This window comes from Homo sapiens, chromosome 16 (assembly GCF_000001405.40).
Source record: "Homo sapiens chromosome 16, GRCh38.p14 Primary Assembly".
Taxonomy (NCBI): domain Eukaryota; kingdom Metazoa; phylum Chordata; class Mammalia; order Primates; family Hominidae; genus Homo; species Homo sapiens.
Window position 1 is genome coordinate 24,047,269 of NC_000016.10, and position 27,246 is coordinate 24,074,514.

General features: G+C 44.8%; 1 protein-coding gene across 3 annotated transcripts in view, besides 1 other annotated feature; it reads left to right on the top strand.

Moving 5' to 3' along the window:
- The window catches only part of PRKCB (protein kinase C beta), a 384,629-nt gene that overhangs the window by 211,286 nt on the left and 146,097 nt on the right, over positions 1–27,246 (top strand). The gene's annotated exons all lie outside the window — the stretch shown is intronic.
- Positions 7,676–8,345: an enhancer, noted in NCBI's record as "OCT4-NANOG-H3K27ac-H3K4me1 hESC enhancer chr16:24066265-24066934 (GRCh37/hg19 assembly coordinates)". NCBI's record gives its function as "activates a minimal SCP1, AML or CMV promoter by ChIP-STARR-seq in naive H9 embryonic stem cells {active_cell/tissue: H9 hESC(naive)}" and the evidence as "EXISTENCE:reporter gene assay evidence [ECO:0000049][PMID:30033119]".

Below are 27,246 nucleotides of genomic sequence, written 5' to 3' on the forward strand. Positions count from 1 at the left end.
GAGGCAGAAGTTGCAGTGAGCTGAGATTGTGCCACCGCACTCCAGCCTGGGTGACAGAGTGAGACTCCATCTCAAAAAATAAATAAATAAAATAAAATAAAATAAAATACAAATTAGCTGGACATGGAGGCATGCACCTGTAGTCCCAGCTACTTGGGAGGCTGAGGCGGGAAGATGACTTGAGCCCAGGAGTTGGTGGCTGCGGTGAGCTATGATCTCGCTACTGCACTCTAGGCTGGGCGACAGAGCGAGACCCTGTCTCTCCTTCTAAAAAAAAAAAAAAGAATTTGAGCACCCGCCTCTAGTCCCTAAGGCAGTGCATGGAGGAGGCTGGATTTGTACCCTGGGTCCATCTGTCTGGCAGGTTCTAACACATTAAGTCAGATGTTGGAAAGATACAGTTTAAGACTATGAGACATTGGAACATAAGAAACACCCACCATACCAGTGGGGAGAGGAAGGAGATGCTTCAGCACTGGTAGTTCTCATAGTCTTATCTTTCAGTGGCTTTAGGGCACAGGTTGGGACTAGTTTAGCCTTAAGGTCTTGGAGAAGACCTGCTTTTCATTTGCCTGTTGCCCCAGCACTGTGGGGTCAGAATCTTTCTTGTGATCAGAGTTTAGAGAAGGGAGGGAGCAGTGGGCTGGAGGCATTCCAGGTAGCCCTGGAGAAGGCAGGAGAGGCATAAGTTAGAAGGGTGAGGGAAGGGAGGAGGGCCAGTGGCTGACGCTTACTGAGCCCTTGCTGTGAACCCAGCACAGTGCTAGCCATCGTGGGGCACAAAAGCCTGTGCAAGATGCAGTCGCAGCTCCTGAGCAGCCTCGCTGTCTGGTTGGGTTCCATCTGCTTTACCACTACCAACAAAACCAAGGGACGGACACCTCTTACTGATAGTAACCACCAGGCACTGGGCGAAGCACGTTGCTCAGCCATGTCGTATAATCCTATCAACAACCTGTAGTCCCAGCTACTTGGGTGGGAGAGAGTTACTGAGGGCATCTCCATTTTACAGATGGGGAAACTGAGACACAGAGAAAGAGGTTAAATAACTTGCCCAAGCCACACAACTAGGAAGATGTGGAGCTGGGACTTGAATCTAACTATGCCATTCCAGATAATTAGGCTCTTGGACACCGTCTTATCCTGGCACTAAGTACATCAGTGGAGTGATGATGATACATGATATTAGTAGCAGCCACTTTTACTTCTTTCTTTTCTTTTCTTTCTTTTTTTTTTTTTTATAACAGAGTCTCACTCTGTCGCCAGGCTGGAGTGCAGTGGCACAATCTCAGCTCACTGCAACCTCCGCCTCCCTGGTTCCAGCGATTCTCCTGCCTCAGCCTTCCAAGTAGCTGGGACTACAGGCATGCGCCACCATGCCCAGCTAATTTTTTTGTATTTTTAGTAGAGACAGGGTTTCACCATGTTGGTCAGGCTGCCTGACCTCAAATGATCTGCCCACCTCGGCCCCCCAAAGTGCTGGGATTACAGGTGTGAGTCACCGTGCCCAGCCACAGCCACCTTTTCTAAAACCCTTCCAAATGCCTGGCTTTTGCTAGGAACTCTACAAGCGTTCCTTCAGGTAATCCTCCTAACAACTTTTGCTATTACCCGTAGTCCTTCTCTCCATTATATGGTGAGGAAACTGAGACTTTGCTTCATATGACTCCATTTTCCCCAACACTTCCTGCTAGCCTGTTTTGCTCCTTTGGGAGTATGAGAGTCAGTGTTTGCTGGACTGTGAGGCTGAAGATGATAACATTTCTTCAAATTGGCCTGTTTTTTTTTTTTTTTTTTTTTTTTTTTTTTGCAGAAAGACAGATTTCACTGGCCAAGATCTGCCCAAGAGGCTGAATAAATTCCTAGGTTGTGAGAAGCAGGTGGATGGAGAAGACTTTCTCTCCAAACCTCCCTGTGTTAGGACCAGGGAATGGGTTATGTGAATCTGGCAACCCTGTCCCACCCTGGACCTGCACCCTTTACCACTACCCTGGCACATCCGGGACCTGCACCCTTTACCACTACCCTGGCACATCCGGGACCTGCACCCTTAACCACTACCCTGGCACATCCGGGACCTGCACCTTAACCACTACCCTGGCACACCCGGGACCTGCACCCTTAACCACTACCCTGGCACATCCAGGACCTGCAACCTTAACCACTAACCTGGCACATCCAGGACCTGCACCGTTAACCACTAACCTGGCACAACCAGGACATGTGCCCTTAACTATTACCCTGGCACAACCGGGACATGCACCCTTAACCACTACCCTGGCACATCTGGGACATGCACGCTTAACCACTACTCTAGCATCATCCGGGACCTGCACCCTTAACTACTACCCTGGTCTGCCTCCTTGAGTGGCCCAGGGAACATCTAGAAGCTGAGAGAAAGAGAGGGATAAAACCAAGTTCACAGCAGTATCCTAAGAAAGTGTTCTCACTTAAAAATGCAAAGATGCTCACAGAGTGTTCAGGTTACACTGGAAAACTCCAGAAACAAAGTGGTTTGTGTACATGGGAGGAAGCAGAATCAACTTCCCACCTTAGCATTGTGGGTGCTTAGCCCACGCCTGTGTATCGCTCAGGGAATCAGAGTCACTATAAGCATCATGGAATAAGGGATTTACTGTACACGTTAGACCTTATACAAGCTTGGAGATGCTGGAGACGGGAAGATCTGGAGGGGTGAATTGAGAATCAGAGGAAGAGCAGTGGTGCAGGTGGACAAGTAGGAGTTGGTAGGGGATCCAAGAAGCCAAGCACGTTGAGCTGCTGACATAGATATTGATGAATTTCATGAAGCTTTTACAGGCACTGGTTTCACCCTTGGGTAACTCAGTACAGGTATGTTGACAGCCTTCCACTAATTCAAAGATGGTTCATAGGTGTCCCAGAATCTTTTAATTCCCAAGTGAGGCAGCCCCAACTCCTTCAGCCATTTACTTTCTAATCCTTAATCCACAGCCCACAACCTCAAACACATGATAGGGCCGAGTATGCCATCATTGATGTCAACCCGGAACTCTTCCTAGACAACACTCCAGTTGGAGTAGCTTCCTTATAAAGCAGGGTGCCCAGAGTGAAAGAGAATCCACCTGTGTTGCCGAGGAGCGAAGGATTGTCACTTTCCTTATTCTAGATCAGCTGTTTTCAAACCTTTCGGCTTCCAGCCCATCTAGGTTTTATGTAACACACACACACACACACACACACACTGCACAAACAAGCACAAACTCACAAACACACACACATTGCACAAACAAGCACACACTCACAACCAAAACCAAACTGCCATTAATGCTTACCTCTACTTATGCTCACCACACACTCTGATACATTCTCCTCTCTTTTGTGGCCCTCTTTTCTGTTCATTTCCATTCTATTTCCTTTAAGAAACCCTTTAAGGAAAATGCTCTTACTCTGCAAATTGATTTCACTAACAATTGGCAAATGTGTCATGACCCGCCGCTTGAAAAACACTGTCCTAGACAACAAAATTCTCTTTCTGCATCCTGAGATGATACTACTCTTTTGGGGGGTCTGGGGGTACCACCAGCCACATTGCACTGTTGACTTATCTTGGGTTTATGATCAGTTAAAGCTCTCTTGTCTATCACATCGGGTGCTGCTAGCCTGCAGGCCCCACATCCTTGTGCAAGATTTTTTTTTTTTTTGAGACTCCAGGATGAAACCTGATGCATTTCATCTTGTAGGGTTTGGCCTTTTGCTCCACGGCCAGGCTGAGAGCTTTTGGGTCTTCCTGTTCTTGTGCCGAGTGTCTTCCGGACATCACCTTCCTCACACCATTCTCTGTGCTACTTGTTCTGCCCTCCTTACTTTTGAAAAGATAGTTTATTACTCATAGATGAGGAGCAGGCGTGCCACTCCATGAAAGGCCACACAGGGAAGCAGCAGGGTCTGCCAGGAGGCAGAGGAAGCGGAAAGAAAACGTGGCAGGAGCATTTGCTGCTGTTTCTGTGAGAAGGAGCAGGTAGGGCGGGAAACCAGCCTTAGGGCTGGCTGGTTTGAATGATCTCAGCAGACTCTGGGTGTAGAGGCTGTCTCTCTAGTTGCCTGGTACCTGATACCTGGTGCTTTTACCTGGGGTAATTAGCACAGGCTGGCCCAGAGTGTAAGAGCCCCATGAAGGAGTTGGTTGGAGGTTTGGGCTTTGGATTGGTTGGTTTGCATATGAAAGGTGCGCTTGCAGGTGAGTTCTTTACTGTCTCTAGGAATGGGCTAGCCCTGGGACAGACAGTTTCTCCAGGGTCAGCAAGGCTCCGAGACACCAAAGCATCAGAAATACAGAAAATAGAGCCAGGTGCAGTGGCTCATGCCTGTAATCCCAGAGACTCAGGAGGCTGAGGTGAAGAATCACTTGAGGCAAGGAGTTTGAGACCAGTCTGGGCAACATAGTGAGACCCCTGTCCCTAAAAAAAATTAAAAATAAAATTACCCAGGCATGGTAGTGCAGCATGCCTGTAATCTCAGCTACTCAGGAGACTGAGGAAGGAGGATCACTGAATCCAGGAGTTCAAGGAAAGAGGCCGGGCACAGTGGCTCACGCCTGTAATCCCAGCACTTTGGGAGGCTGAGGCAGGTGGCGAGTGAATCACCAGGTCAGGAAAGGGAGACCATCCTGGCCAACATGGTGAAACCCTGTCTCTACTAAAAATACAAAAATTAGCTGGGCATGGTGGCGGGCACCTGTAATCCCAGCTACTCAGGAGGCTGAGGCAGGAGAATCGCTTGAACCTGGGAGGTGGAGGTTGCAGTGAGCAAGCGAGACTCCGTCTCAAAAAAAAAAAAAAAGACATAAAATTAATAGACCTTAGACTATTTTATTTAATTATTTTATCAAAATAGGATAGGCATAGTTAAAAATGCCAATGTGCATTGGAGAGCTGAGGATGAAAAGCAATGTCCTGTACTTGAGCTTGCATCAGAATCATCTAGAGAGTGCCCCACCCTCAGAGTTTCTGATTCAGTAGACATTGAAGAATGAGAATTTGAATTTCTAACAGGTCCCCAGAGAATGCTGGTGTGTTCACACTCCGGTTACCAGAAAGGGATCCCGATCCAGAACCCAAGAGAGGTTCTTAGGTCTTTTGCAAGAAAGAATTCGAGGCAAATCCATAAAGTCAAAGCAAGCTTACTAAGAAAGTAAAGGAATAAAGCATGGCTACTCCACAGGCAGAGCAGCCCTAAAGCTGCTGGCTAGCCACTTTTGAGGTCATTTCCTGATTATATGCTAAAAAAGGGGTGGATTTTTCATGAGTTTTCTGGGAAAGGGGTGGCAGATTCCCAGAACTGAGGATTCCTCCTCTTTTTAGACCATGTAGGGTAACTTCCTGACGTTGCCATGACGATTGTAAACTGTCATGGCGCTGCTGGGAGTGTCTCTTAGCATGCTAATGCATTACAATTACTGTATAATGAGCAGCAAAGACGACCAGACGTCACTTTTGTTGCCATCTTGGTTTTGGAGGATTTTGACCTACTTCTTTAACACAACCTGTTTTATCAGCAAGGTCTTTGTGACCTGTACCTTGTGCTGACGTCCTGTCTCATTCAGTGACTTAGAATCCCTTAACCTCCTGAGAATGCAGCCCAGTAGGTCTCAGCCTTATTTTACCCAGCCCCTATTCAAGATGGAGTCACTCTGGTTCAAACATCTCTGACACTCTGAGAACCACTGCATTGGAAGACACTATTTTCAACTCTTTAAACTCTTTCTTCCAGCACTTGAGCTCTAAATTTTAATCATGTGCTCTGTCTCTCTGTCATTTCACTATTTCATGGCTCTGACTTCCTGAGAAGGTTTTAATTCTCTGATGTGATCCCTCTAGTTCTCTTCCCCTCACATCCAGCACGGGGTTACTGCCATTTGTAGTTCACTCACTCAAAAAAAAGTGATTATTAAGCATCTTCTGCATGTCAGGCATTGACTTAGTCACTGGAGATTTGTCAGAGAACAAGCCAAAGTCCTGCCCTCATGGAGCTTATATTTTAGTGCAGGGCTTGACAAACTTTTTCTGTGAAGGGCCAGATGGGCTTTGGAGCTATCTGGTCACTGTCACAACTACTTAACTCTGCCATTGTAACACGGAAGTGGCCACAGTGTGCCAATGAATGGGCACGGGTGTGTGCCAATAAAACTTTATTTACAAAAACAGGCAGGAGGCTGGATTTGGCCCTTGGGCTGTAGTTTGTAGACCTCTGTTGTAGTGTGGGAGAAGACAAAGTAGGTAAATAAGTAAAATACGAACAGTAAGCTAAGGGGAAAAAGAAAAAACGGAAAAAGAGGATGGGAAGGAGGCAGGAGGGGACTGGACCTGCACATTTAGATATGGTGGCAAGCAGGCAGTCACTGAGATGGGGACATTGAGTAAAGACTTTCAAAGGAGATGAAGGAGGGAGCCATGCATCTCCCTGGCAGAAGAGCATTCCAGGCACAGTAACAGCTGGTGCAAAGGCCCTGTGGCATGAGCATGTTCGGTGTGCTTGAAGAAACAGCAAGGAGGCTCGTGTGTCTAAGTGGGGCAAGTCAAGGGAAGGGAGCAGGAGAGGAAAGCGGAGGAAACAGAGAGGCAGCTGCTGAGGGCTATGTGATTCTTGGGAGGGAATTTGTCTTTTCTCTTAGTCCAATGGGAATCCATTATTGTGACTCTAGTAGTTGTAATAGTTCCTTTAAGTTTTATTTATTTATTTTAGATACAGGTTCTCACTGTATCACTCAGGCTGGAGTACAGAGGCACAATCACTGCTCACTGCAGCCTCAAACTCCTGGCCTCAAGCAATCCTCCTGCCTCAGCCTCCTGAGTAGCTGGGACTGCAGGCACACACCACCATGCCCAGCCAAATTTTTAAAAATTTTATAATAGAGATGGGATCTGGCTATGTTGCCCAGGCTAGTTTCAAACTCCTGGCCTCAAGTGACCCTCTTGCCTCAGCCTCCCAAAGTGCTGGGATTACAGGTGTGAGCCACTGAACCTGGCTATTTAAGTTATGTATTTGCAACTCCATTTCTTGCTTTCCCAATGGTAGGCAATATCTCTTAACTTTGTCTTTTGTAGAGCATTTTTATATGCATGATATCATTTACTCCCTATGAGATGTGACTATTGTCCCTATTCTGTAGAGGAGGCAACTGAAGCTCGGAAAGGTTAAATGACTTGGCCAGATTCATATAGCTGATAAGTGCTGGTGCTGGAATTTAAACCCAGGTTTGTCTTAATATGGAGATCTTAGCACCTATTTTATATGAAGAGACAATCCTTTAGGGATACTGGGGAAACCTGTGGCTTTTGGACAATAAATTAAAAACCCTTTCCCAAGAAGGGGAGCTGTGTGTGTATCAATCAAACAAAATGAGAACTATTCTGAGAGGGAGGAAAAGGTTCTTTTCTGTGGGAACGCTGACCAAGCCGTTGACAGCTCATTTATGTGATGCTGGTGCAGTTTGACATTCATAGTACAAGACTTGCATGCAATTAGCACGAATCGTTCTAACAGTCTCTTGAAAACATTTGGAATTTTCCCTCTGTCTGGCCTTGTGCATGATGTAAACATGGCTTTATTTAGTTGGTCATCCATCCCAGAATAGTGTGGTCTGCATCTGTCTGCATCACTGTGGTCTGATTGAGGTCTTGTTTTCCTGGAGGGCAGAGACTGTTGTGTAGGCTTGCTTTGTGGATCCTCCTCCCCCAGGATCATTCGCCACAAACCCGATGGCAGCCTCTCTCTTTAGCTCATGACAATTTCTCCAAGTGTAAGCTGGGGGTCCCGTTCAGTATGCAATGCAAATGAGATGCAAATGAGGGGCCCTCTTGGGCACAGGCCAGGAGGCCAGAGCTCTGGGGACTTCTGTACCCCTCCTCTGAGTTGCCTAATGAAGCTGACCGTTCCTTTCACAATCATCTTCTCCACCCACCAAAGGCCTCTTAATGAGGGCAGAAGCTGACTGCTCTGAAACCCCTTCAGACACCTGGTGATTGGAAGCTGGAGAGACAGTGAGCTTTAGATGGGCTGTCAGCCGCTGCTGAGTCCTCATCAGCTGCCTGCTGGGTTCTGAGAAGCACTAGGGAAGGAAGGGAGATGGCCCTGGAACTGACTGCTATTGTCTGTTCCTCCTCCCCTGACGAGCTGCATGCGGCAGCCACGGATGGCTGGGTTTGGGCTTTCACGTCGGCTTCTCTGGCCCTTGCTGGATGCCTGCTTCAGCTCAGAGAATGTGGCTTCACAGGGACTTGGAATAAGAGCTGAGAGCCTGTTCCCCCCATCGAGGATCAATGCTCCTTTGATTTCATTTCTTCTTTCCAGACGAATCCACTGTCTTAGCCCGTTGTTGGAGAAATCCCGACCTAAGCAGGCTTTCAAATTGGGGAAAGAAAAGTGAACCAATCTGAAATCATGGAATGGTTGGTGGAGAAGGACAAGTAGGCATATCCATAAAGAGCCAGCAGTCCCAAAGGATGTTCCAGTGCATCTTTCTGCTTATTTCTTCTAGTTTTGTAGGGGTGTGTGGTGTGCAATGCTGTTTGCTTGACAGAATCCTTTCAGTCTCTCTCTCTCTCGAAATATAAATTTCCTGCACTACAACAGCCTACTAAGTGCCAGACACAGTGCTGGGCTCTTTACCTGCATCAACCCATTTTGTCTCCATTGACAAAAGGGGAAACTGAGGCTCAGAGAGGTTAATTGACTTGCTCAAGGTCAACTGGGCTTCTGTGTGGCAGAACTGGAGTTTGGTCCCAGGTCTGTTTGCATCTAACACCCAGCCCCTTAACCACTTTGCCGAATTGAGAATTTGGAAATTAAAATGGTGATTTCAACTCAGGGATGGGTGTGCTTTCTTTCAGCCTTGCAGTAAGTGCACATCTTCTTTCTCTTTTCCTCTTTGAAGCTGCCAGCCTCTCCCTTGGGGTTCTCCTTGGCTCTGGCCATGATTTCCCCAGCTTCCTCATTCATACCTCCTGGCATCAGACTGACCTGGGCTAATCACCATCTCTGCCTGTCACTAGTTCAAGAGGCAGCTTATGGGGACTTGTGGGTCATACAGGTTCCCCTAGAAAGATGATGGGCAGACTGACATTGGGATTGAAATGTCTTGTCTCCAGCGTTCTTGAATAGGGGCAACAATGCCCACTGGGTCTCCAGGCATGGGGTCTAAAAGTGAATGCAAAATACCTGTGATACAGTGTGGATGTTTTATCCCCACCAAGTCTCATGTTGAAATGTGATCCTCGGTGTTGGAGGTGAGGCCTCGTGGGAGGTGCTTGGGCCATTTTTGGGTCATGGGGCAGACACCTCATGCCTGGCTTGGTGCACTCCATGTCACCTAAACGAGTTCTCGCTCCATGTTCACTAGAGATCTGGTTGTTTAAAAGAGTCTGGCACCTCCCCTCTCTCATTCTTGTTCCCGCTCCTACCATGTGATACACGGGCTCCCCTTTCTCCTTGTACCATGATTGGAAGCTTCCTGAGTCCCTCACCAGAAGTGGATGCCAGCACCATGCTTCCTGGACAGCCTACAGAACCATGAACAAAAATAAACCTCTTTTCTTTATAAAGTACCCAGCCTCAGGTATTCCTTGAGAGCAACGCAAACGGATGAACACAGCCTATTTCCATAGCCTTGCTATTGGTGAGTCTTGGGCCCGTGGTGCATGCACAGGGGCCAGATCCAGCCCTTACCCCAAGAGCAGATTCAAACGTGTCTTTCCCTGATTATTTATGGCCACTAAAATGGAAGGTGATGGTTGTGGTGGGTGTCTATGATCAGGGCTCAATAAATATTTGTTGAAAACAAAAATGTAAACAAGAAAAAGACAGGACCTTGTCAACAAGTGTTATATAGTTGCAGATCTTTATCTTGGATTGTTCAGACTCTGCCCTTCTCTGGCAGGCACACTTTTGGGAATGGGAAGGGCCAACAGTGCTTCTTTGGTCCCATTAGATCCCCATGTCAGCCCTATGAAATAATACTATCCCATACTTACTACTATTTCAGCTTTACAGAAGGGAAAAATGCAGCTCAGAGAGGTGAATTCACTTGCCCAAAGTCCCATCGCTAGGGAGCGATGGGATTTGAATTAAAAATGCAGATGTGATTGATTCTAAACGCAGGCTGTTAATGCATAGCTTTCCTGGGGAACAAAAAGAGCTTTCCTTTCATACCTCATTCATTCATTCATTCACTTATTCTTTAATCTCTTCTGTATGGGAGGTCATTTGCTAGATACTGGATGGCTGTAGGAATGAATATGATTCTTTACACGCTGAGTATTTCATAGCCCTACTAAGAGAGAAGAAGAGAGAGCTCACTATAAAAGGGGGGATTGGTGAAGAGATAATGGAGTAGGAAGCACATGCTGTGGGAGGTGCCAGGGGATGAGAGGTTAATTCCAACCCATGGGGTTGTGATAGGCTTCACAGAGGCAAAGGCAGTGGACTTAGTTCTGGATGGGGCAGAGATCTAACGCTTATTGATGGCTTGCCCCTTGCTAGGACTCAGCTCGGTGGGCGCTTTGTCTATTTTCTACTTTGAAAGATGAATAGAAACTTTGACGGTCTTTTGCCCTCTGAAATCCACTCTTCACACCCAGCCACAGGAATCTTTCTAAAATGTAAATCAGGCCATGTCACCCCCCTGCTTAAATGATTCCAAGCCTTCTCAGAGCTTCCAACTGAAACCTAAACTCCTCACTCCTGCTCTAAGAGCCTGCAGATTCTGCTTCCTTCAGCCTCTTTCCAACCTTGTTTGTTCTTTTCCCATGATAGCCACATCTCTGAGCCAACAAATATTTTTCCTTCCTTCTTGCACTTGCTCTTCCCTCAGCTTGGGTTGCTTTTCCTTGGGCTCTATGTGTTGCCAACTTTCCAGTAGCCTTCAGTCATCACTAAATGTCACCTTCTCAGAAAGCCCGCCTCTGAGTCTTATCTGAAGAAACCCCTCCCAGTCACTCCCTATCCCATTACTCTGTTTGCATTTGTTTATTTATTTGCTTCTTGCCTGTTTCTCTCCACTGGATGGAGAGCAAGAACCTTCCTTATTTTTTATGCCACTTTGTGCTAGTGCAGTGCACAATTGACATGTACAGATGCACAATTAGAGTTTGCTGAGTAAATGGCTAAATAGGTTAAAAAAAAAAACCAAAAACGGTGGGCTGCTAGGCAGAAGTGTAACCACACAAGTGAACCTTGAAAGTTACCATGAAACGTAACCTTCATGCCCTGTGAAGGTGCCTTAGGTTTCTGGTGTGTTTGGACCATAGATTGTAGCTATGAAGTCTGATTAATGCCTGAATCAGACATTGAATGACCTGAATAAATAGTTAAAAAGTTGGACTTCTAGGCTGAAGTGTAACCACATGAGAGAAGCATGAATGTTACCATGAAGGTGCCTAGGGTTTCTGGTGTGTTCAGACCATAGATTGTAGCTATGAAGTCTGATTAATGCCAGCTCACAGAAGAGCTTGCTCAAGCATGCTAGGGATTTGGTGAGCCATTGTAGGTGGTAATGACCTGATCTAGTTACCATGGGTGACAATTAAAAAGAAGGATTAAAGATGTAAGGGACTAGAGCTGTAGAGACCCATCCAGGAGCTATTGATCCCTGTAGGATGGAGGAGATGAAACATACATGAATTAAGGAAGTGGAAGGATAAGAATAAATTGATGTAGAGGATCAGGGAGAGGATGGAGGAGTCAGGACTAACAGAGATTTCTGACTCAGGAAGACATGTGGATAGTGAGCGTGATAGCCAATTAGGGTTAGAAGTCACAGAAGCTTACCAGAAGGGAAAGGTAATCATCTTGCTTTAGTATATGTTGAGATGTTTTTGGGTTGCATGGGTGACTGTGTCCAGTAGGCAGATGAATCTGTATATCCAGAGATCCGATTGGAAAAACAGAGCCAACAGTATGGATGCAGGGGTCACCGGCCCTAACAGTGGAAGCTGAATTCTTTGAGTGGGTCAGGAATTAGTGCAGCACTGTAAGAGCAGGAAGGTTCAGGCTCTGGGAAATGGAGCCACTTCAGTCATCAGTGGAGCAAGAGGAGCCAGTGAAGGAGAATTTAAAAATAATGCTTTTAAGTCCAGGTGCAGTGGCTCATGTCTGTAATCCCAGCACTTTGGGAGTCTGAGGCAGAAGGATCGCTTGAGCCCAGGAGTTCAAGACCATCCTGGATGATAAAGGGAGACTCCATTTCTACAAAAAAAAATTTTTTTTTTTTAATGTAGCCAGTGTGGTGGTGCATGCCTGTGGTCCAAGCCACTGGGGAGGCTAAGGTGGAAGGAGCCCTTGAGCCCAGAAGTTTGAGGCTGCAGTAAGCTATGATCACAGCACTGCACTCCAGCCTGAGTGACAGAGTGACACCCTATCTCGAATAATAATTATTATTAGTAGTAATAATTATAGTGCTTTTAGAGAATGAAGGGGAACCAGCCGAGTAAATGGTCATAGAAGCCAAGGGAAGAGAGAATTCAAGAAAGTGGATATGGCCAACACCTTAGATGCTGCCAACTGGTAATGATAAACACGAGGCTAAGAATTGAACAGAGTCACTGGATTTGGTCATTTAACTTAGGGACTTGGGAAGTGCTCTTTCAGTGGCATAGTAGGAGTTAAGAGGCAGGATGCCGGAAAGCCTGGATGCTGGATGTTGAGGAGGGAATTGAAGGAGGGGATGTGGAAAGAGGAGTGTAGACAACTCATGAGAATTTGGGTTGTGGAAGAAAGGGGCCAGGGAAGGCGTCTTAGAAGGAAGTTATTTCTGAGAGGCATCTGAGCAGGTTTATAGCATGAATGGAAGAAAGCAAGGTGCCTGGGAATAGGGATAGGAATTAAGCAGAAGCGGTCCTAGGCTTTGTCTTCAGGAAGATAGGTGTTCAAGTCCCAGCTCTGCCACATGCTGGCTGTGGGACTTTGGGCAAGTTAATGAAGCCCCATGAGTCTCAGTGTCCTCATCTGGCGAGCAGAGAGAGTAGCCTGTACCTTGCAGAGTCATGGCAAGGATGAAACAAGAATGTCTCTCAGGGCCTTCACAGCGCTTAGTGCATAATGAGGGGTTAGTTAGTGAACTCCTACCAAGCTCCTTTGTACAGGGCATTTAGCAAAGACGTCAGTGACCCTGAGAATCCCTAGTCTAAGGTAGGTACCCCTTCCCTAAGCGCTGAACTTCCTCCCTTATGCATGTATCACATCTACAATGTTTCCTTGTGTAGTGGATACTGTGGTGTGCCACCAGGATCCCTCTCTCAGCACAGAGGCACTCCTGCCCCAAGCCACGCAGAGTATTGGCTCTGACCACTCACGGCTTCAGTATTTCCGTAGGATTTGCCCTGAGGGAGCTGCAGTGCCCAAGGTTATGCCCTCTTCCAGGGGCAGCTCACAGTCTATGATTGGTTGCTGGTGGGGAATGGGCTTATAAATGCTCTTCCCCAGCCTCAGTAGGGAACAAGTCTAAGGGGCCATCCCAGCTACAGAGCTCCCTCATGGATCAGGTGACACCTCTGTTGCAGCTACATTGCAGTTCAGTTTCTCGATTTCATCCTGCTTCCCCCATTCCTTGCAGGAGTTCCTCCCAAGGTTATTCCCTGAGAAGCCGCCTGCATACAATATCCAGATCAGTCTTTTTTCAGGGAACCCGACTTAAGATGCCTTGTTTAATGTTTGTATCTTTTCTCTAAAATATAAGCTTTTTGTAGGGACTGACTATTCTGTCTTGTTCATTTTGTGTCACCATGTCTAGGTACATAATAGGTGCTTGTTAATAATTTTTAATCTTTTTTTTTTTGAGACAGGGTCTTGCTCTGTTGCTCAGGCTGGAGTGCAGTGGCATGATCTTGGCTCACTGCAACCTCCGCCTCCCGAATTCAAGCAATTCTTATGCCTCAGCCTCCCAAGTAGCTGGGATTACAGGTGTGCATCACCACACCCAGCTAATTTTTGTATTTTTAGTAGAGACGGGGTTTTGCCATGTTGGCCAGGCTGATCTCAAACTCCTGAGCTCAAGTGATCTGCCCACTTTGGCCCCGCAAAGTGCTGGGATTACAGGCATGAGCCACCACATGCGGCCATTAATTGAATAAGTGAATGAACAGGTTTCCTAAACACACACACAGGAGTGCCCTGATATATACAGTTTTTCAGAGTTGTGATTAGAGAATAGGTTATCTGGAAGTGCCTTCCTGTGGGAGTGTGAGCTTGCATAGGCTCCCCCAGCATGGAGCCATCACTAGCAATGGCTGTGTCTTCCACGAGCTATTTCCAGGGTTCCATCAGCAAACAGTGGTCACGATTTATAAAACGTTCACACAAGAACATTTGGGCTGCATTCTACATCATTTTAGTACAGAGAGGTTGTTCCTTGGGGCCTTTAATTTTCTAGCTTTCATTATTGAGAGAGTAAAATGTATCACTTGCATTCCAAAATTGATTTTTATTTCCCAAAAGAAGCCCATAAAAATAAATAACTTCCCGGGAGGGAAAACAGAAAAGCACTCTATACACTGGGCAATTTGTTAAAAAAGAAAAGAAAAGGAAAGGAAGCCTGGAGCGACAAAGCAATCTAAACATTTAGATTGTATCTCTTGTATTCCCCCACTCCCCCTGCACCTTAAATAAATAAAAAAAAAAAAAAAAAAAAAAACTTGAGGCCTGCTGGACTTTGAAAATGCCCATGTTGTTGAGAAAACTCTGTTGGGCAGCTTCATGGGACAGCATCCTTTGGAGCACTGCCTCATGGTTCACACCCCTGGTATCCCAACCCACTGCTATGTTGTTATTAGCAAGATACGTTTCCAGTATCTCATTACTAATTGTATCAGTAAGCATTTGCTGTGTAACAAATTGCTGCAAGGGTAGTGGGCTTAAAACAACATTCTTTCTCTCAATTTTGTGGGTCTTCTGGGAGGTTCTTGTGATCTGGGCCAGCTTGTCTGGGGCTGGAGGGTCTGTGAGGCCCTCACTCTCACATCTGGTGGTTGGCTCAGTGTCAGCTGGAGGGACAGGGATGCCTTGGCCATTGCCTGCCACCACCCAGCAGGCTAGCCTTTGCCTGCTCACTGGCATCTCAAGAGCAGTAAGTGAGGGCATTTCAATCCAAGCCCCAATTCCCAAGCACTTTTGAGGATTCTGTTTGCATCGCATTGGCTAATGTCCCAGTCACATGACCAAACCCAGATGCAGGGAATGGAGAAACGAATTGTTGTTCTTTCCTTGACATTTTACTTTCTCAAGTATAAAGGGGGGTTTGTAGGCAAGGAAGATGCCAAGTAGTCCCATTTTATAGCTAATAAACTGAGAACCAGAGAGGTTGAGCAACTGGTCTGAAGTCACGCAGCAAGCCCAGAACACACTGGGTAACCAATCCACTGGGGGTGAGTTCACCCTGTGCAGCCACATTTGATCTCCCCTTGCTTCATTCCCTCCAGCACTCTGGCAGCCAGGAGGACAGCTCCCTGTGGGGACTGTGACATTACTGGCCCCTCACTCAGCTCTTCTTGTGCCAATTAGAATGCATACTTATTTTTTTTTGCAGGTTGTCCTTTGCTTGCATCCCTCACCTCCCCCATCCACTCTGTGATCTTCTCTGTGGCTCAAGAGCCTGACTCCTTCAGAGTGCATGACATGGGCTCTTTTCCTTTTTAGTTTCTGATTGAGTTCAAGCAGTAAGAGGCATTGATTGGCAAGAGATTGTAGGATGGTAGGAATGAGAAGATGCGGCATTTCTGTCCCAATTCCTCTGCTCTTGGCTGTGTGTCCAGCAGTATCAGAAGGCCCCTTCTCTGTGTCTCCAGATTTCACTGGGCTCTGGTAACACTACTTCCTTCTTTGGCCTCTTCAGGCCTAGGGGTAGCAATGACATCTCAATGCTGCTACTCTCTGGATGTCTCACCATGCGTTGTTGATCCCTTTAACCCTGTCTTCACATTTGTGAGTAGTACCTTAATTAAAATCTCTAGAGCCTTCTGAATTGGATTCTGTTTTCTGCTTGCGCCTATCCTGATACACTTTTTTTTTTTTTTTGAGATGGAGTCTCACTCTGTTGCCCAGGCTGGAGTGCAGTGGCATGATCTTGGCTCTCTACAACCTCCGCCTCCTGAGTTCAAGCGATTCTCCTGCCTCAGCCTCTCAAGTAGCTGGGATTACAGGCGTGTGCCACCATGTCTGCCTAATTTTTGTATTTTTAGGAGAGACAGAGTTTCATCATGTTGGCCAGGCTGGCCTCGAACTCCTGACCTCATGTGATCCGCCCGCCTTGGCCTCTCAGAGTGCTGGGATTACAGGCGTGAGTCACCATGCCTGGCCACTGATGTACTTTCACTGGGTTCCATTTTTTTTATAAGGGGAGAAAGAATGGAGTTTGCAGCATGCGCTTAGGGAACCCAGTATCATGATGATAGAGGAGTGAGTAGCCTGCATGAATGCTGCTGTGGCAGGAAGAATGTTTGAGAACTTGAGCACTAGAGTGTGAGATTTCTGGTTGTCTTGGCTCCATTCAGGGAATTCTTAGGACTCTGGGAAGGACATACCAGGATATTTATGGCATCACTGTTTGTGGTGGCAAAAAGCTAATAGCCTCCTGAATGCCCGTTTTTGAAGGCTGAACATGTTGTAGTCTGTCCATGCTGTGGTATAACTTGCAGTTGAAAAAGAATGAGTTTCAAACTGACTGACATATTGTTGGGTGGGAAAAGCATTTTGCAGAGCAGCGTGTATAGTGTGATTCCGTTTTTGTACAGTAACCCTCCCAGTCCATTTGTTTCTAGGTGATTGTCTCAGCCAGGAGAAAGGTAGGAAAGAGTAAACACCAGGTTGCCGTCCTTCTTACCTGGCAGTTGGGGAGGAGGAGAAAGATAGAATGGGAAAGCAAGTAGGTAAAGGGAGCTTGAAAAAAAAATCATAGCAAATGGGAACATACACATAGATTTAATTTGGTGTCCCTTTTCTAACTTTTTGAGATAGATATAGCATTGATTTTTCAGCCTATCTTCTTTCCTAATATGTACATTAAGGCTACACATTTTCCTTTAAGCACAGCTTTAGTTGACTCTCACAAGTTTTGAATATTTTTGAATTTTCATGATGATTTTTCCTATGATTTATTCAAAAGTGTATGTTTAATTTTCAAGCATTTGTAAATATTCTAGTTATCTTTTTGTTATTGATAGTTTGTTTCCACCACAGTCTGAAAACATACATAATTTCATTCATTTGACATTTGGGTAAATATTCCATGTGCACTTACAAAGAATATGTATCCTGTGTTTGTTGGATGCCATATTGTGTGTGTGTAAATTAGTTTCGTTAGTTGTGTTGTTCATATTTTCTATATCTTGTTTGATTTTTATTTTGCTTGCTTGTTCTGTTACTGAAAGAATTGGATTTAAGTCTCCTATTATGATTCTGGGTTTTTTTCCTTTCAGTTTTATCAATTTTTGGTTTGTATATTTTGAAGCAATGTTATTATTATAAAATATAATTGATATCTCCTCGGTGAATTGATCCTTTTATCATTCTGAAAGGTATCTGTTTATCTCAAATAATGCTTCTTGCCTTAAAGCCTACTTTGCCTCTTGTAAATATACCAGTTTTCTTTTGGTTGATGTTTTATGATGTGTGTGTTTATATGTATATACATATATACATATATATAGACCGAATATATGTATTATATATGTTTTATATAATGTTTTATGGTGTGTGTGTATATATATATATAAAAAGACTGAAAGGGAAAAGGGGGAAATATATCTATATATAAAATAATATAAATATATATATATTTTTCCCCCTTTTCCCTTTCAGTCTTTCTGTAGCCTTACATTTAGAGTGTGTCTTTTATAAGCACAATTTTTAATACAGTCTGACAATAGTTGATTTTAATTGGAGCATTTAGACCATTTACATTTTATATAATTGCTGATATATTTGAGTCTATATCTACCACTTCCTATGATTTTTCGTTTGTCCCATGTGTTTTACATTCCTTTTTCTCTTTATTATTGCCTTTTGGGGATCACTTAAGTATATTTTATTATTTCATATTCCTTTCTATTAACTAATTAGTCATGTATTGTTTTTATTATTTTTATATTGATTCTAGAGATTGCAATATGCATCTTTGGATTTTAGAATTTAATATATTAGTACTTTTATTACGTTCCAAATGATCCTAGGTTCTTTAACATTTTAGTCCTGTTTACCCCATCCTACCATACACATTGTAATTTTACATGTGATTTAAACTACATTATGATAATGCTTCATATAATCAGCATTTACTTGGATTTAATAATATATTTACCCTTTCTGTTAGTTTTCATTCTTTCTTACATTTTCACATTTCCATCTGGGATCATTTTCTTTCTCTCTAAAGAACGTCTTTTATTATTTAGTTTAGGCCTGCTGCAAATACATCTTAAGATACTTGTATTTCAAGCTGGGCACAGTGGCACATGCCTGTAGTCCCAGCTATTCAGGAGTCTGAGACAGGAGGATTGCTTGAGCTCAAGACTTCAAGTCCAGTCTGGGCAACATCGTGAGATCCCATCTCTGGGGAAAAAAAATCTTTATTTCACATTCACCCTTGGATAGAATTTGAAACTGGCTGTTATTTTCTTTCGGCACTTTAAATATACCATCCCGTTGTTCTTCTTCCATCATTTTTGTTGATTTTGTCAGTCTTATTGTGGCTCTTTTGAAGTCCTATTGTTGCCTTTATGCAATCTGTATGATTTTAGATTTTCTCTCTCTCTTTGATTTTCAGCAATGTGACTGTGATGTTCCTGTGTGTGTGTGTGTGTGTGTGTGTGTGTGTGTGTGTTTGTATGTGTTTATCTTGGTTGGTGTTTCTTTACTTCTTGCCTCTTTAACTTGATGTTTTTCATTAGTATTTTCTTGTCCATTGTCTGCCCTATCCTTTTCTCTCCTTTTCATGCTTGACTTTGATTATATGTATGTTAGACCTTGGTACTGTGTCCTCTGTCTCTGACACTCTCTTCTGTACTCTCTGTCTCTTTTAATCTTTATGCCATAGTCTGATTTTTCTTAATAATCTGTTTTTCAGCTCACTGATTTGCCTTCTAACTGCTTCCAATCTGCTGCTAAGCCATGCATTGAGTTATTAATTTTAAGTATTGCATTTTAAATAAACTTTTTATTTTAGAATAGTTTTAGATGTACAGAAAAGTTGCAGAGGATAGACTTCCCGTATACCTTTCACTCAGTTTTCCATTATTAACACGTTACATGACCATGACACATCCGTCAAAATGAAGATGTTAACACTAATTAGTACTGTATTGTTAACTAAACTCCAAACTTTATTTGGATTTTCCTTTTTTTTTTCACGATATTCTTAGTGTATTCCAGGATCTCATGTAGGATACCAAATTACATTAAGTTGTCATGTTTCCTAAGTGTCCTCTGGTTTATGACAATTTCTCAATCGTTTCTTATTTTTCATGACCTTGACAGTTTTGAGAAGTACTGGTCAAGTATCTGGTAGAATGTCCATCCACTTGGGAATTATTGTATGTTTAATTCTAAAGCTTTCATTTGCTTTATTTAGTTATTTTGAGACAAGGGTCTTGCTCTGTCACCCAAGCTGGAGTGCAGTGGCACAATCATCACTCATTGCAGCCTTGAACTCCTGGCCTCAAGCAATCTTCCCACCTCAGCCTCCTGAGAAGCTGGGACCACAGGTGCATGCCACTGAGCTTGGCTAATTTTTAAAAATTTTTGTAGAGATGAGGTCTCGCTGTGTTGCCCCAGGCTGGTCTTGAACTCCTGGCCTCAAGTGATCACCCCTCCTCAGCCTCCTAAAGTGTTGGGATTACAGGTGTGAGCCACTGTACCCAGTCAGTTTCTTTTTTGTAACCAATAGTTCTCTGGTGAAACTTTCCACATTGTCATCCTTTCTCCCTTCTTTTAAACATCTTAATAAGTTATTTTAAAGTTCATGTTTGATAATTCCAGTGTCTGAATCACCCATGGATCTGCCCTCTTGTCTGTTTTTTTAAAATTTTTTAGACGGGATCTTATTCTGTCACCTAGGCTGGAGTGCAGTGGTGCAATCATAGCTCGCTGCAGCCTCTACCTCCTGGGCTCAAGCAATCCTCCCACCTCAGACTCCTGAGTAGCTGGGACTATAGATGTGTATCACCACACCCCACTAATGTTTGTATTTTTGTAGAGATGGGGTTTTACTATGTTGTCCAGGCTGGTCTTGAATTCCTGAGCTCAAGCCGTCTGCCCATGTTTGCCTGTCAAAGTGCTGAGATTACAGGCATGCATCACCACGCCTAGGTGTTTTTTGCTTCTGGTCCTATTTCTTGGCATGTTTGGAAGTTTTGTTTGAATTTCAGATGATTCCTTGCTAAATTAGAAAGCTGTTGGACAGGTGTGGTGGCTCATGCCTGTAATCTCAGCACTTTGGGAGGACAAGGTGGGTGGATCATCTGAGATCAGGAGTTTGAGATCATCCTGGCCAACATAGTGAAGCCCCATCTCTACCAAAAATACAAAAATTAGCCTGGCATGGTGGCACATGCCTGTAATCCCAGCTACTGGGGAGGCTGAGGCACGAGAATCACTTGAACCTGGGAGGCGGAGGTTACAGTGAGCCTGGGTGACAGAGCGAGACTCCGTCTCAAAAAAAAAAAAAAAAAAGAGAGAGAGAGAGAGCTGAGGAAGAGGTTATTTTCCATGCAGGTTGGGGTCACCCTTCTGGTGGTGATCGAGCTCACTGTGTGCTGGTTTATAGCCTTCGTAAGGTTTGTTCTATTTCTGGTTCATTTCCACTCCTATGGTGTAGAGGTTTCCAACTCTGAGGCTGAAGACTTGCCAGGGCCCTCCTTTTAACTGGGTCCTGAACCCCAATTTTTGTTTCTCTAGCACCATAAGCCTGACAAAACCTCTCAGCTGATTTCTGTTTTGTGTCTCAACCTCTGCAGTGTGATTGGTAGAGACTCAAGAGAAAAATCAATGCCTAGCGTTGAGTTCACTTCTCTGCTCTTCCCCTCCCACTATGATTTGGCCCCTCAAGTCCTGCCTTCCCTGGAAGCTTTGATTCCTAGCCCCAAGAATAAGCTTCAAGCTCTGGTGGCCTCCCTCCTTCTTAGCAGGTGCCCTCTGTCTAGCTTCTTAGTCCTTTGCCCTGTGTTGAGAATTGATTTATGGCCCAAAGGAAAAAAAAAAAAAAACCACACACAGAATATTGGACTTATCTTAATTCTAATTCCTTCAAAATTCCAGTTTCTTGAAAAATATTTTTTATCTGGCTTTTATAGTTGCTCTCAGTGGGAGAGCTACTTTATCATTGCCCCAAGTGGTATGATATTAAATAAAAATATAAAATACAAAATAGATTTAGAGTGGTATAATTATGTAAAAATTGAATGTTAACATGGAAAAAGACCAGAAGGTGAATATACAAATGAAAGCATTTATTTAATTTTGGGATAAGATCTAAGGTAATATTTGTTTGGTTCAGAAAATTATTTTTAAAGAAGGGTGTTGTGAGCATCAGTGATAGAGTGAGGAATCCTCATTTCTTTCAGATCCTGGTAGGGGACCCTGAGAACTTTGGGGAGTGAAGATAGTGAAGTAAAGGTTGCTAAGCATTCTGCTAGAACACTATGGAGACAGCGATATAAAATAAGAGCCAATAATAACAAAGTAGCACATAGTGAATGTTTACCATATGCCAGACATTCTATTAATTTATAATGATTGTAACATTCCTATGAGCCAACATCCTTATCATTAGCCCCATTTTTTAAACAAGGAGACTGAGTTACCGAGAAGTTAGGTAACTTTCAGGTCACAAAGCTGCTCTATGGCAGAGCTGATCTGCCAGGATCTCTGGGTTTAAGCTCCTCACCATCACACTTGACTAATTTGGTATAGAAAGTGGCTTTAGATCAGATAAGGGTACATGAAATGCAGGAGGTGCCGTGTTAGAGGACAGTTTGGTCCAGTCCCCATGTCCTGGGGCAAATGAAGCAGATGGCCTCAGAACAGCCTGTTTTTAAATCATGTAAGACTGACTTCTTTCAGCTGCTGGATTCCTGCCTCCCAGAGTGAGACGTTGAAGTTTGGCCCGGAAGAGGCTGAGCACTGGGGACGAGCAGTGCTGTGCTGTGTATAGAGTGCTTAAAACAGTGCCTGGGTCTGAGCGTGGTGGCTCATGCCTGTAATCCCACCTCTTTGGGAGGCCATGGTGGGAAGATTGCTTGAGCCCAGGAGTTTGATTTCAGCCTGCAACATAGTGAGACCCCATTTCTACAAAAAATTTTAAGAAGTAGTCAGGCATGGTCGTACACCTGTAGTCCCAGCTACTTGGGAGGCTGAGGTGGGAGGATCACTTGAACCCCAAAGGTTGAGGCTGCAGTGAGTCGTGATTGCACTACTGTACTCCAGCCTGAGTAACAAAGCAAGACTTTGTATCAAAACAAAACAAACAAAACAAAACAGTGCCTGGCATATAGTATGTGCTCAATAAAAGTTGTCATTGTTATTGTCATGACATCATCAGAGCCTAGAACAAATCACAAAACCTGTATATTCTCTCTGGGCTGGAGGTCTTAAGATTCTTCTCCATTCCCAACGGGTACTCCCGAGATGACGTGATTCATGGCCATTCCTTCCTTCCTTCAGTGTGTGGCTCACACTGTGCTGGGCTATGGCGTCACCACTGTCAATACGACAAATAAATGGATAATTACAGCAAAGTGTTAGGACTGCTGTGCCAGACACGAGTGCAAGGTGTCCTGGGCAACCAGGGAAGGGACGTTAACTTACACTGGGATTGGGGCCCTGTGATGGTAAGCTTTTCATCTTGCAGGAAACCAGGGGATTTTTTTTTTTTTTTTTTTGAGACAAGGTCTTGCTCTGTCGTCCAGGCTGGAGTGCAGTGGCACGATCTTGGCTCACTGCAACCTCTGCCTCCTGGGTTCAAGCGATTCTTGTGCCTCAGTCTCCCAAGTAGCTGGGATTACAGGCATGTGCCATCACTCTTGGCTAATCTTTGTATTTTCAGTAGCGACGGATTTTTGCCATCTTGGCCAGGCTGGTCTCAAACTCCTGACCTCAAGTGATTCGCCTGCCTCAGCCTCCCAAAATGCTGGAATTACAGGCATGAGCCGTTGCGCCCGGCCTTGAAACCAGGGAATTTAATGACATTTAAAAATCATTTATTAAGTATATATGAAATATATAGAAAATAGTATCCCAGGCACCTAATAGAACAGAATAATAATAATGACTAGGAGTTGTTGAGTGTAAAATAGGTTGCAGTCATTACAACGCATATAATAGCATGAAGTATATAGCTCCTCAGCCCTCTCAGCCATCTTATGAGGGAACACTGTTGCTATTCTCATATTACAGATGAGGAAACTGAGGCTCAGAGAGGTTAAGTAATCCTCCAAGCCTCCGCAGCCAGGAAGTGGTATCACTTTGAACTCAAACTCAGGTCTGTTTGATCCTGAGGCCAAGCCCTTGGCCAGAAAAATTAGGAAGTCATAGTCCCTTCCCTTAAGGAGCTCTATTTAATATAGCAGAACAAGTAAAGCAAGTACATATCTCTCTAAAGTATACTGTGTCACTGAAGATAAGAAAGGAAGAAATCCTGTGATGGGTCAGATGAAGTCAGGAAAGGCTTCTGGGAAGAGGTGGCCTTATAGATCTAACTAGAAGGATGAATGAGCTTTGGGCCAAAGGCAAGGGAGGGAACCATCTGGACAAAGGGTAGTTAGTACACACTGTGACCTGAAGAGGGAGCTCAAAGCCCCCCTCCACTCCAGGGCTGATGTGAGGATGTGAGTTAAGGACTTGGATGCTGCTCTTGGGGCTTTCAGAGATAGGGGAGGAGCTTAATGACCTCGTCTTCATGATATACCCTAAGCATTCTCTCTTGGCTTTCCATTTGAGACTTACTCTGCCTTCAGACCTCTCAGAACTCTGCATATCTGGTATGGTAAGAGGAGCCTGAGCTACCTCTTCTCTGCATTGCCTTGAAAACAAAACATGGCCGGGCACGATGGCTGACGTCTGTAATCCTAGCACTTTGAGAGGCCAAGGCGGGTGGATCGCTTGAGCTCAGGAGTTTGAGACTAGCCTGGGTAACATGGTGAGACCCTGTCTAAAAAAAAAAAAAAAAAAAAAAAAAAGACAAACAGGACTGGGGAAAAGGAATAAGAGGAGCCCGTCCAACCTTCCAATTTCCACCAATTTTAATGTGGATCCAGAATTGAGAATGCTAGTCTAGCTCAACTCAACAGGGCCAGTGGTTCTACTTGTGATTGGGGGTAAAGGTCCTAGGGTAGTAAAGAGAGTGAGTACCTGCCTGGCTTGTCCGCTCTGCACATGTCTCTGGGCAGTAGCTGTGGGATGTGGTCCTGGACACTAGATCCCATCTGTCTCCTCCTATGGAGGCAGGATCTTACAGGGAACAGCCGGCAGCCAAGGCTAGCTGGAGTCTGGCCTACACCATATAAGGAGATGGTGCAGGAAAGGCTGAAAGTTATGGTGGGGGCCGAAGAGGGCGTTGAGTTGCAGTAACCATGCCCAAGCCTTTGTGGAGTTAATGATCACAGTGGACACATTCTGGAGGGGTCGTCGGCATCACTGGGCCCTGCTCCAGGATCTCAGCAAGGATGTTATTATTATCATGAGGGTGCCCAATTCAGTTTGCTACTTGTTTATGGGCTGATTGCAATTTGGATAGAGTTTAACCCCCACCCCACCCCCGCCTTTTGTTTTTAAAAATTTGCTGAGGTGAAATTCACATGACTTAAAATGATCTGTTTTAGAGTGAACAGTTCAGCGGCATTTAGTACATGCACAGTGTTGTGCAACCACCACTGCTATTTAGTTCCAAAACATTTCCATCATTCCAAAATAAAGCCCCATACTGATTAAGCAGTGACTACCCATCCCTGCCTTCTCCCAGCCCCTGGCAACCATCAATCTGCTTTTGTTTTTAATTTTTTTGAGACAGGGTGTTTCTCTGTCACCCAGGCTGGAGTGCAGTGGTACGATCATAGCTCACTGCAGCCTGGAACTCCTGAGCTCAAGCAATCCTCCCACATCAGCCTCCTAAGTAGCTGGGACTGTAGGCATGCACCACCATGCTCAGATAATTATTATTTTTATTTTTTATAAAGATGGGGGTCTCCAACTCCTGGCCTCAAGTGATCCTCCCACCTCAGCTTCCCAAAGAGTTGGGATTACAGGTGTAAGCCACCACAACCAGCCAATCTGCTTTCTTTAACTCTCTCTTTCTCTCTCTCTCTCTTTTTTTTTTGAGATGGAGTTTCCCTCTTGTCACCCAGGCTGGAGTGCAATGGCATGATCTCTGCTCACTGCAACCTCTGCCTCCTGGGTTCAAGCAATTCTCCTGCCTCAGCCTCCCAAGTAGCTGGGATTACAGGCCTGTGCCACCAGACCGAGCTAATTTTTGTATTTTTAGTAGAGACGGGGTTTCACCATGTTGGCCAGGCTGATATCGACCTCCTGACCTGAGGTGATCCACCCGCCTCAGCCTCCCAAAGCACTGGGATTACATGTGTGCGCCACGCACCTGGCCTAACTCTCTCTCTCTTTTTAAGGCTGTTTAAAAATGAAACTATTCAGTAGCTCAAGTATACCTTACTGTAAAGAGGAAGTATTTATGCAGTGCTCAGTCATCTTGATCAGAGATGATTATCAAAACATCAAAATATCTCTATGCCAGCTGGCAACTAAGAAATACCACCAGATGTCCTCTGCCTCTCTGGCCTTGTTAGTTTCTTCTCCAAGAGCCCTTGGATGTGATCTGATAATGAAAAGGTGAATGTCTAGTTCAGTGGGAGCCTTCACATCTACCCCAGGGCTTTGGCTGTCTCCAATCTGATGGATAAACCGCTTGCTAAATATTTTGACTATCAGCCCTGTGATTAAGGTCAGGATTAGAACTGTTGTATTTGTAAGAACCTCTCCTAAAGATGGCCTCCCATTGCCCACCTGTTTGAATCCTACCTGCCTTAAACATTTTTGCCATTTTTATTTATTTCTTAGAAACAGGATCTTGCTCTGTCTCCCAGGCTGGAGTACGGTGGTACAATGTTGGCTCATTGCAGCCTCAGACTCCTGGGCTCAAGTGATCCTCCCGCCTCAGCCCCTTGAGTTACTGGGACTACAGGCGCATGCCACCATGTCTGGCTAATCGTGAAAATTGTTTTTGTAGAGACAAAGTCTTGCTATGTTGCCCAGGCTAATCTCAAATTCCTGGCCTCAAGTGATCCTCCCTCCTTGACCTCTCAAATTGCTGGGATTACAGGTGTGAGCCATTGCGCCTGGCCGGTTTTTTAAATGTCTCAGTCTAAAGTTCAATATTCATCCCCTAGCCCCTAAGCCATGTTTTTAACACCTCGATAAACGATGTGCTGACTTTACCTAAAATGTGTCCAGTATTCCTTCTGAGATGGAAAGATGCTATTTTGGGGGTAAATATGTTGATCTTTTCCAGAAGGAGTCCAAGACAGCTGATGATAGCTTTTGCTTGTTCTCTATAGAAGAGCAAGTGATGGCCGGGCGTGGTGGCTCACGCCTGTAATCCCAACACTTTGGGAGGCCGAGGCAGGCGGATCACGAGGTCAGGAGATCGAGACCATCCTGGCTAACATGGTGAAACCCCGATACAAAAATATTAGCCGGGCGTGGTTGGTGGCGGGCGCCTGTAGTACCAGCTGCTGGGGAGGCTGAGGCAGGAGAATGGCATGAACTCAGGAGGTGGAGCTTGCAGTGAGCCGAGATCATGCCACTGCACTTCAGTCTGGGTGACAGAGCAAGACTCCATCTCAAAAAAAAAAAAAGAAGAGCAAGTGATGTGTTTAAGACACACCTCGAAGCTACTGCCATAGAATGTGTGACCATGGTTATGGATTTCATAAGGGGCACCCTAAGAGGGAAAAATAATCTGACCCAGATGGATCTTCCGAGGCACTGTGATGTCGTGCCTAAGAGTGCAGCCTTGGGAGGAAGACAGAGAGGGTTCAAATCCCGCTCTACTGTTATCAGCTCTCTGTATACCTTGGACAAGTCACTCAACCCCCTCAGCTGTCAGGTTCCACATCAGTAAAATGGGGAAAACAGTAACACTCACATCATAAGGTTCTTGTAAGGATTCAATGAGATAATTCATGTGCAGTCCTTAGAATAGTGCTTGGCTCATATAGTAAG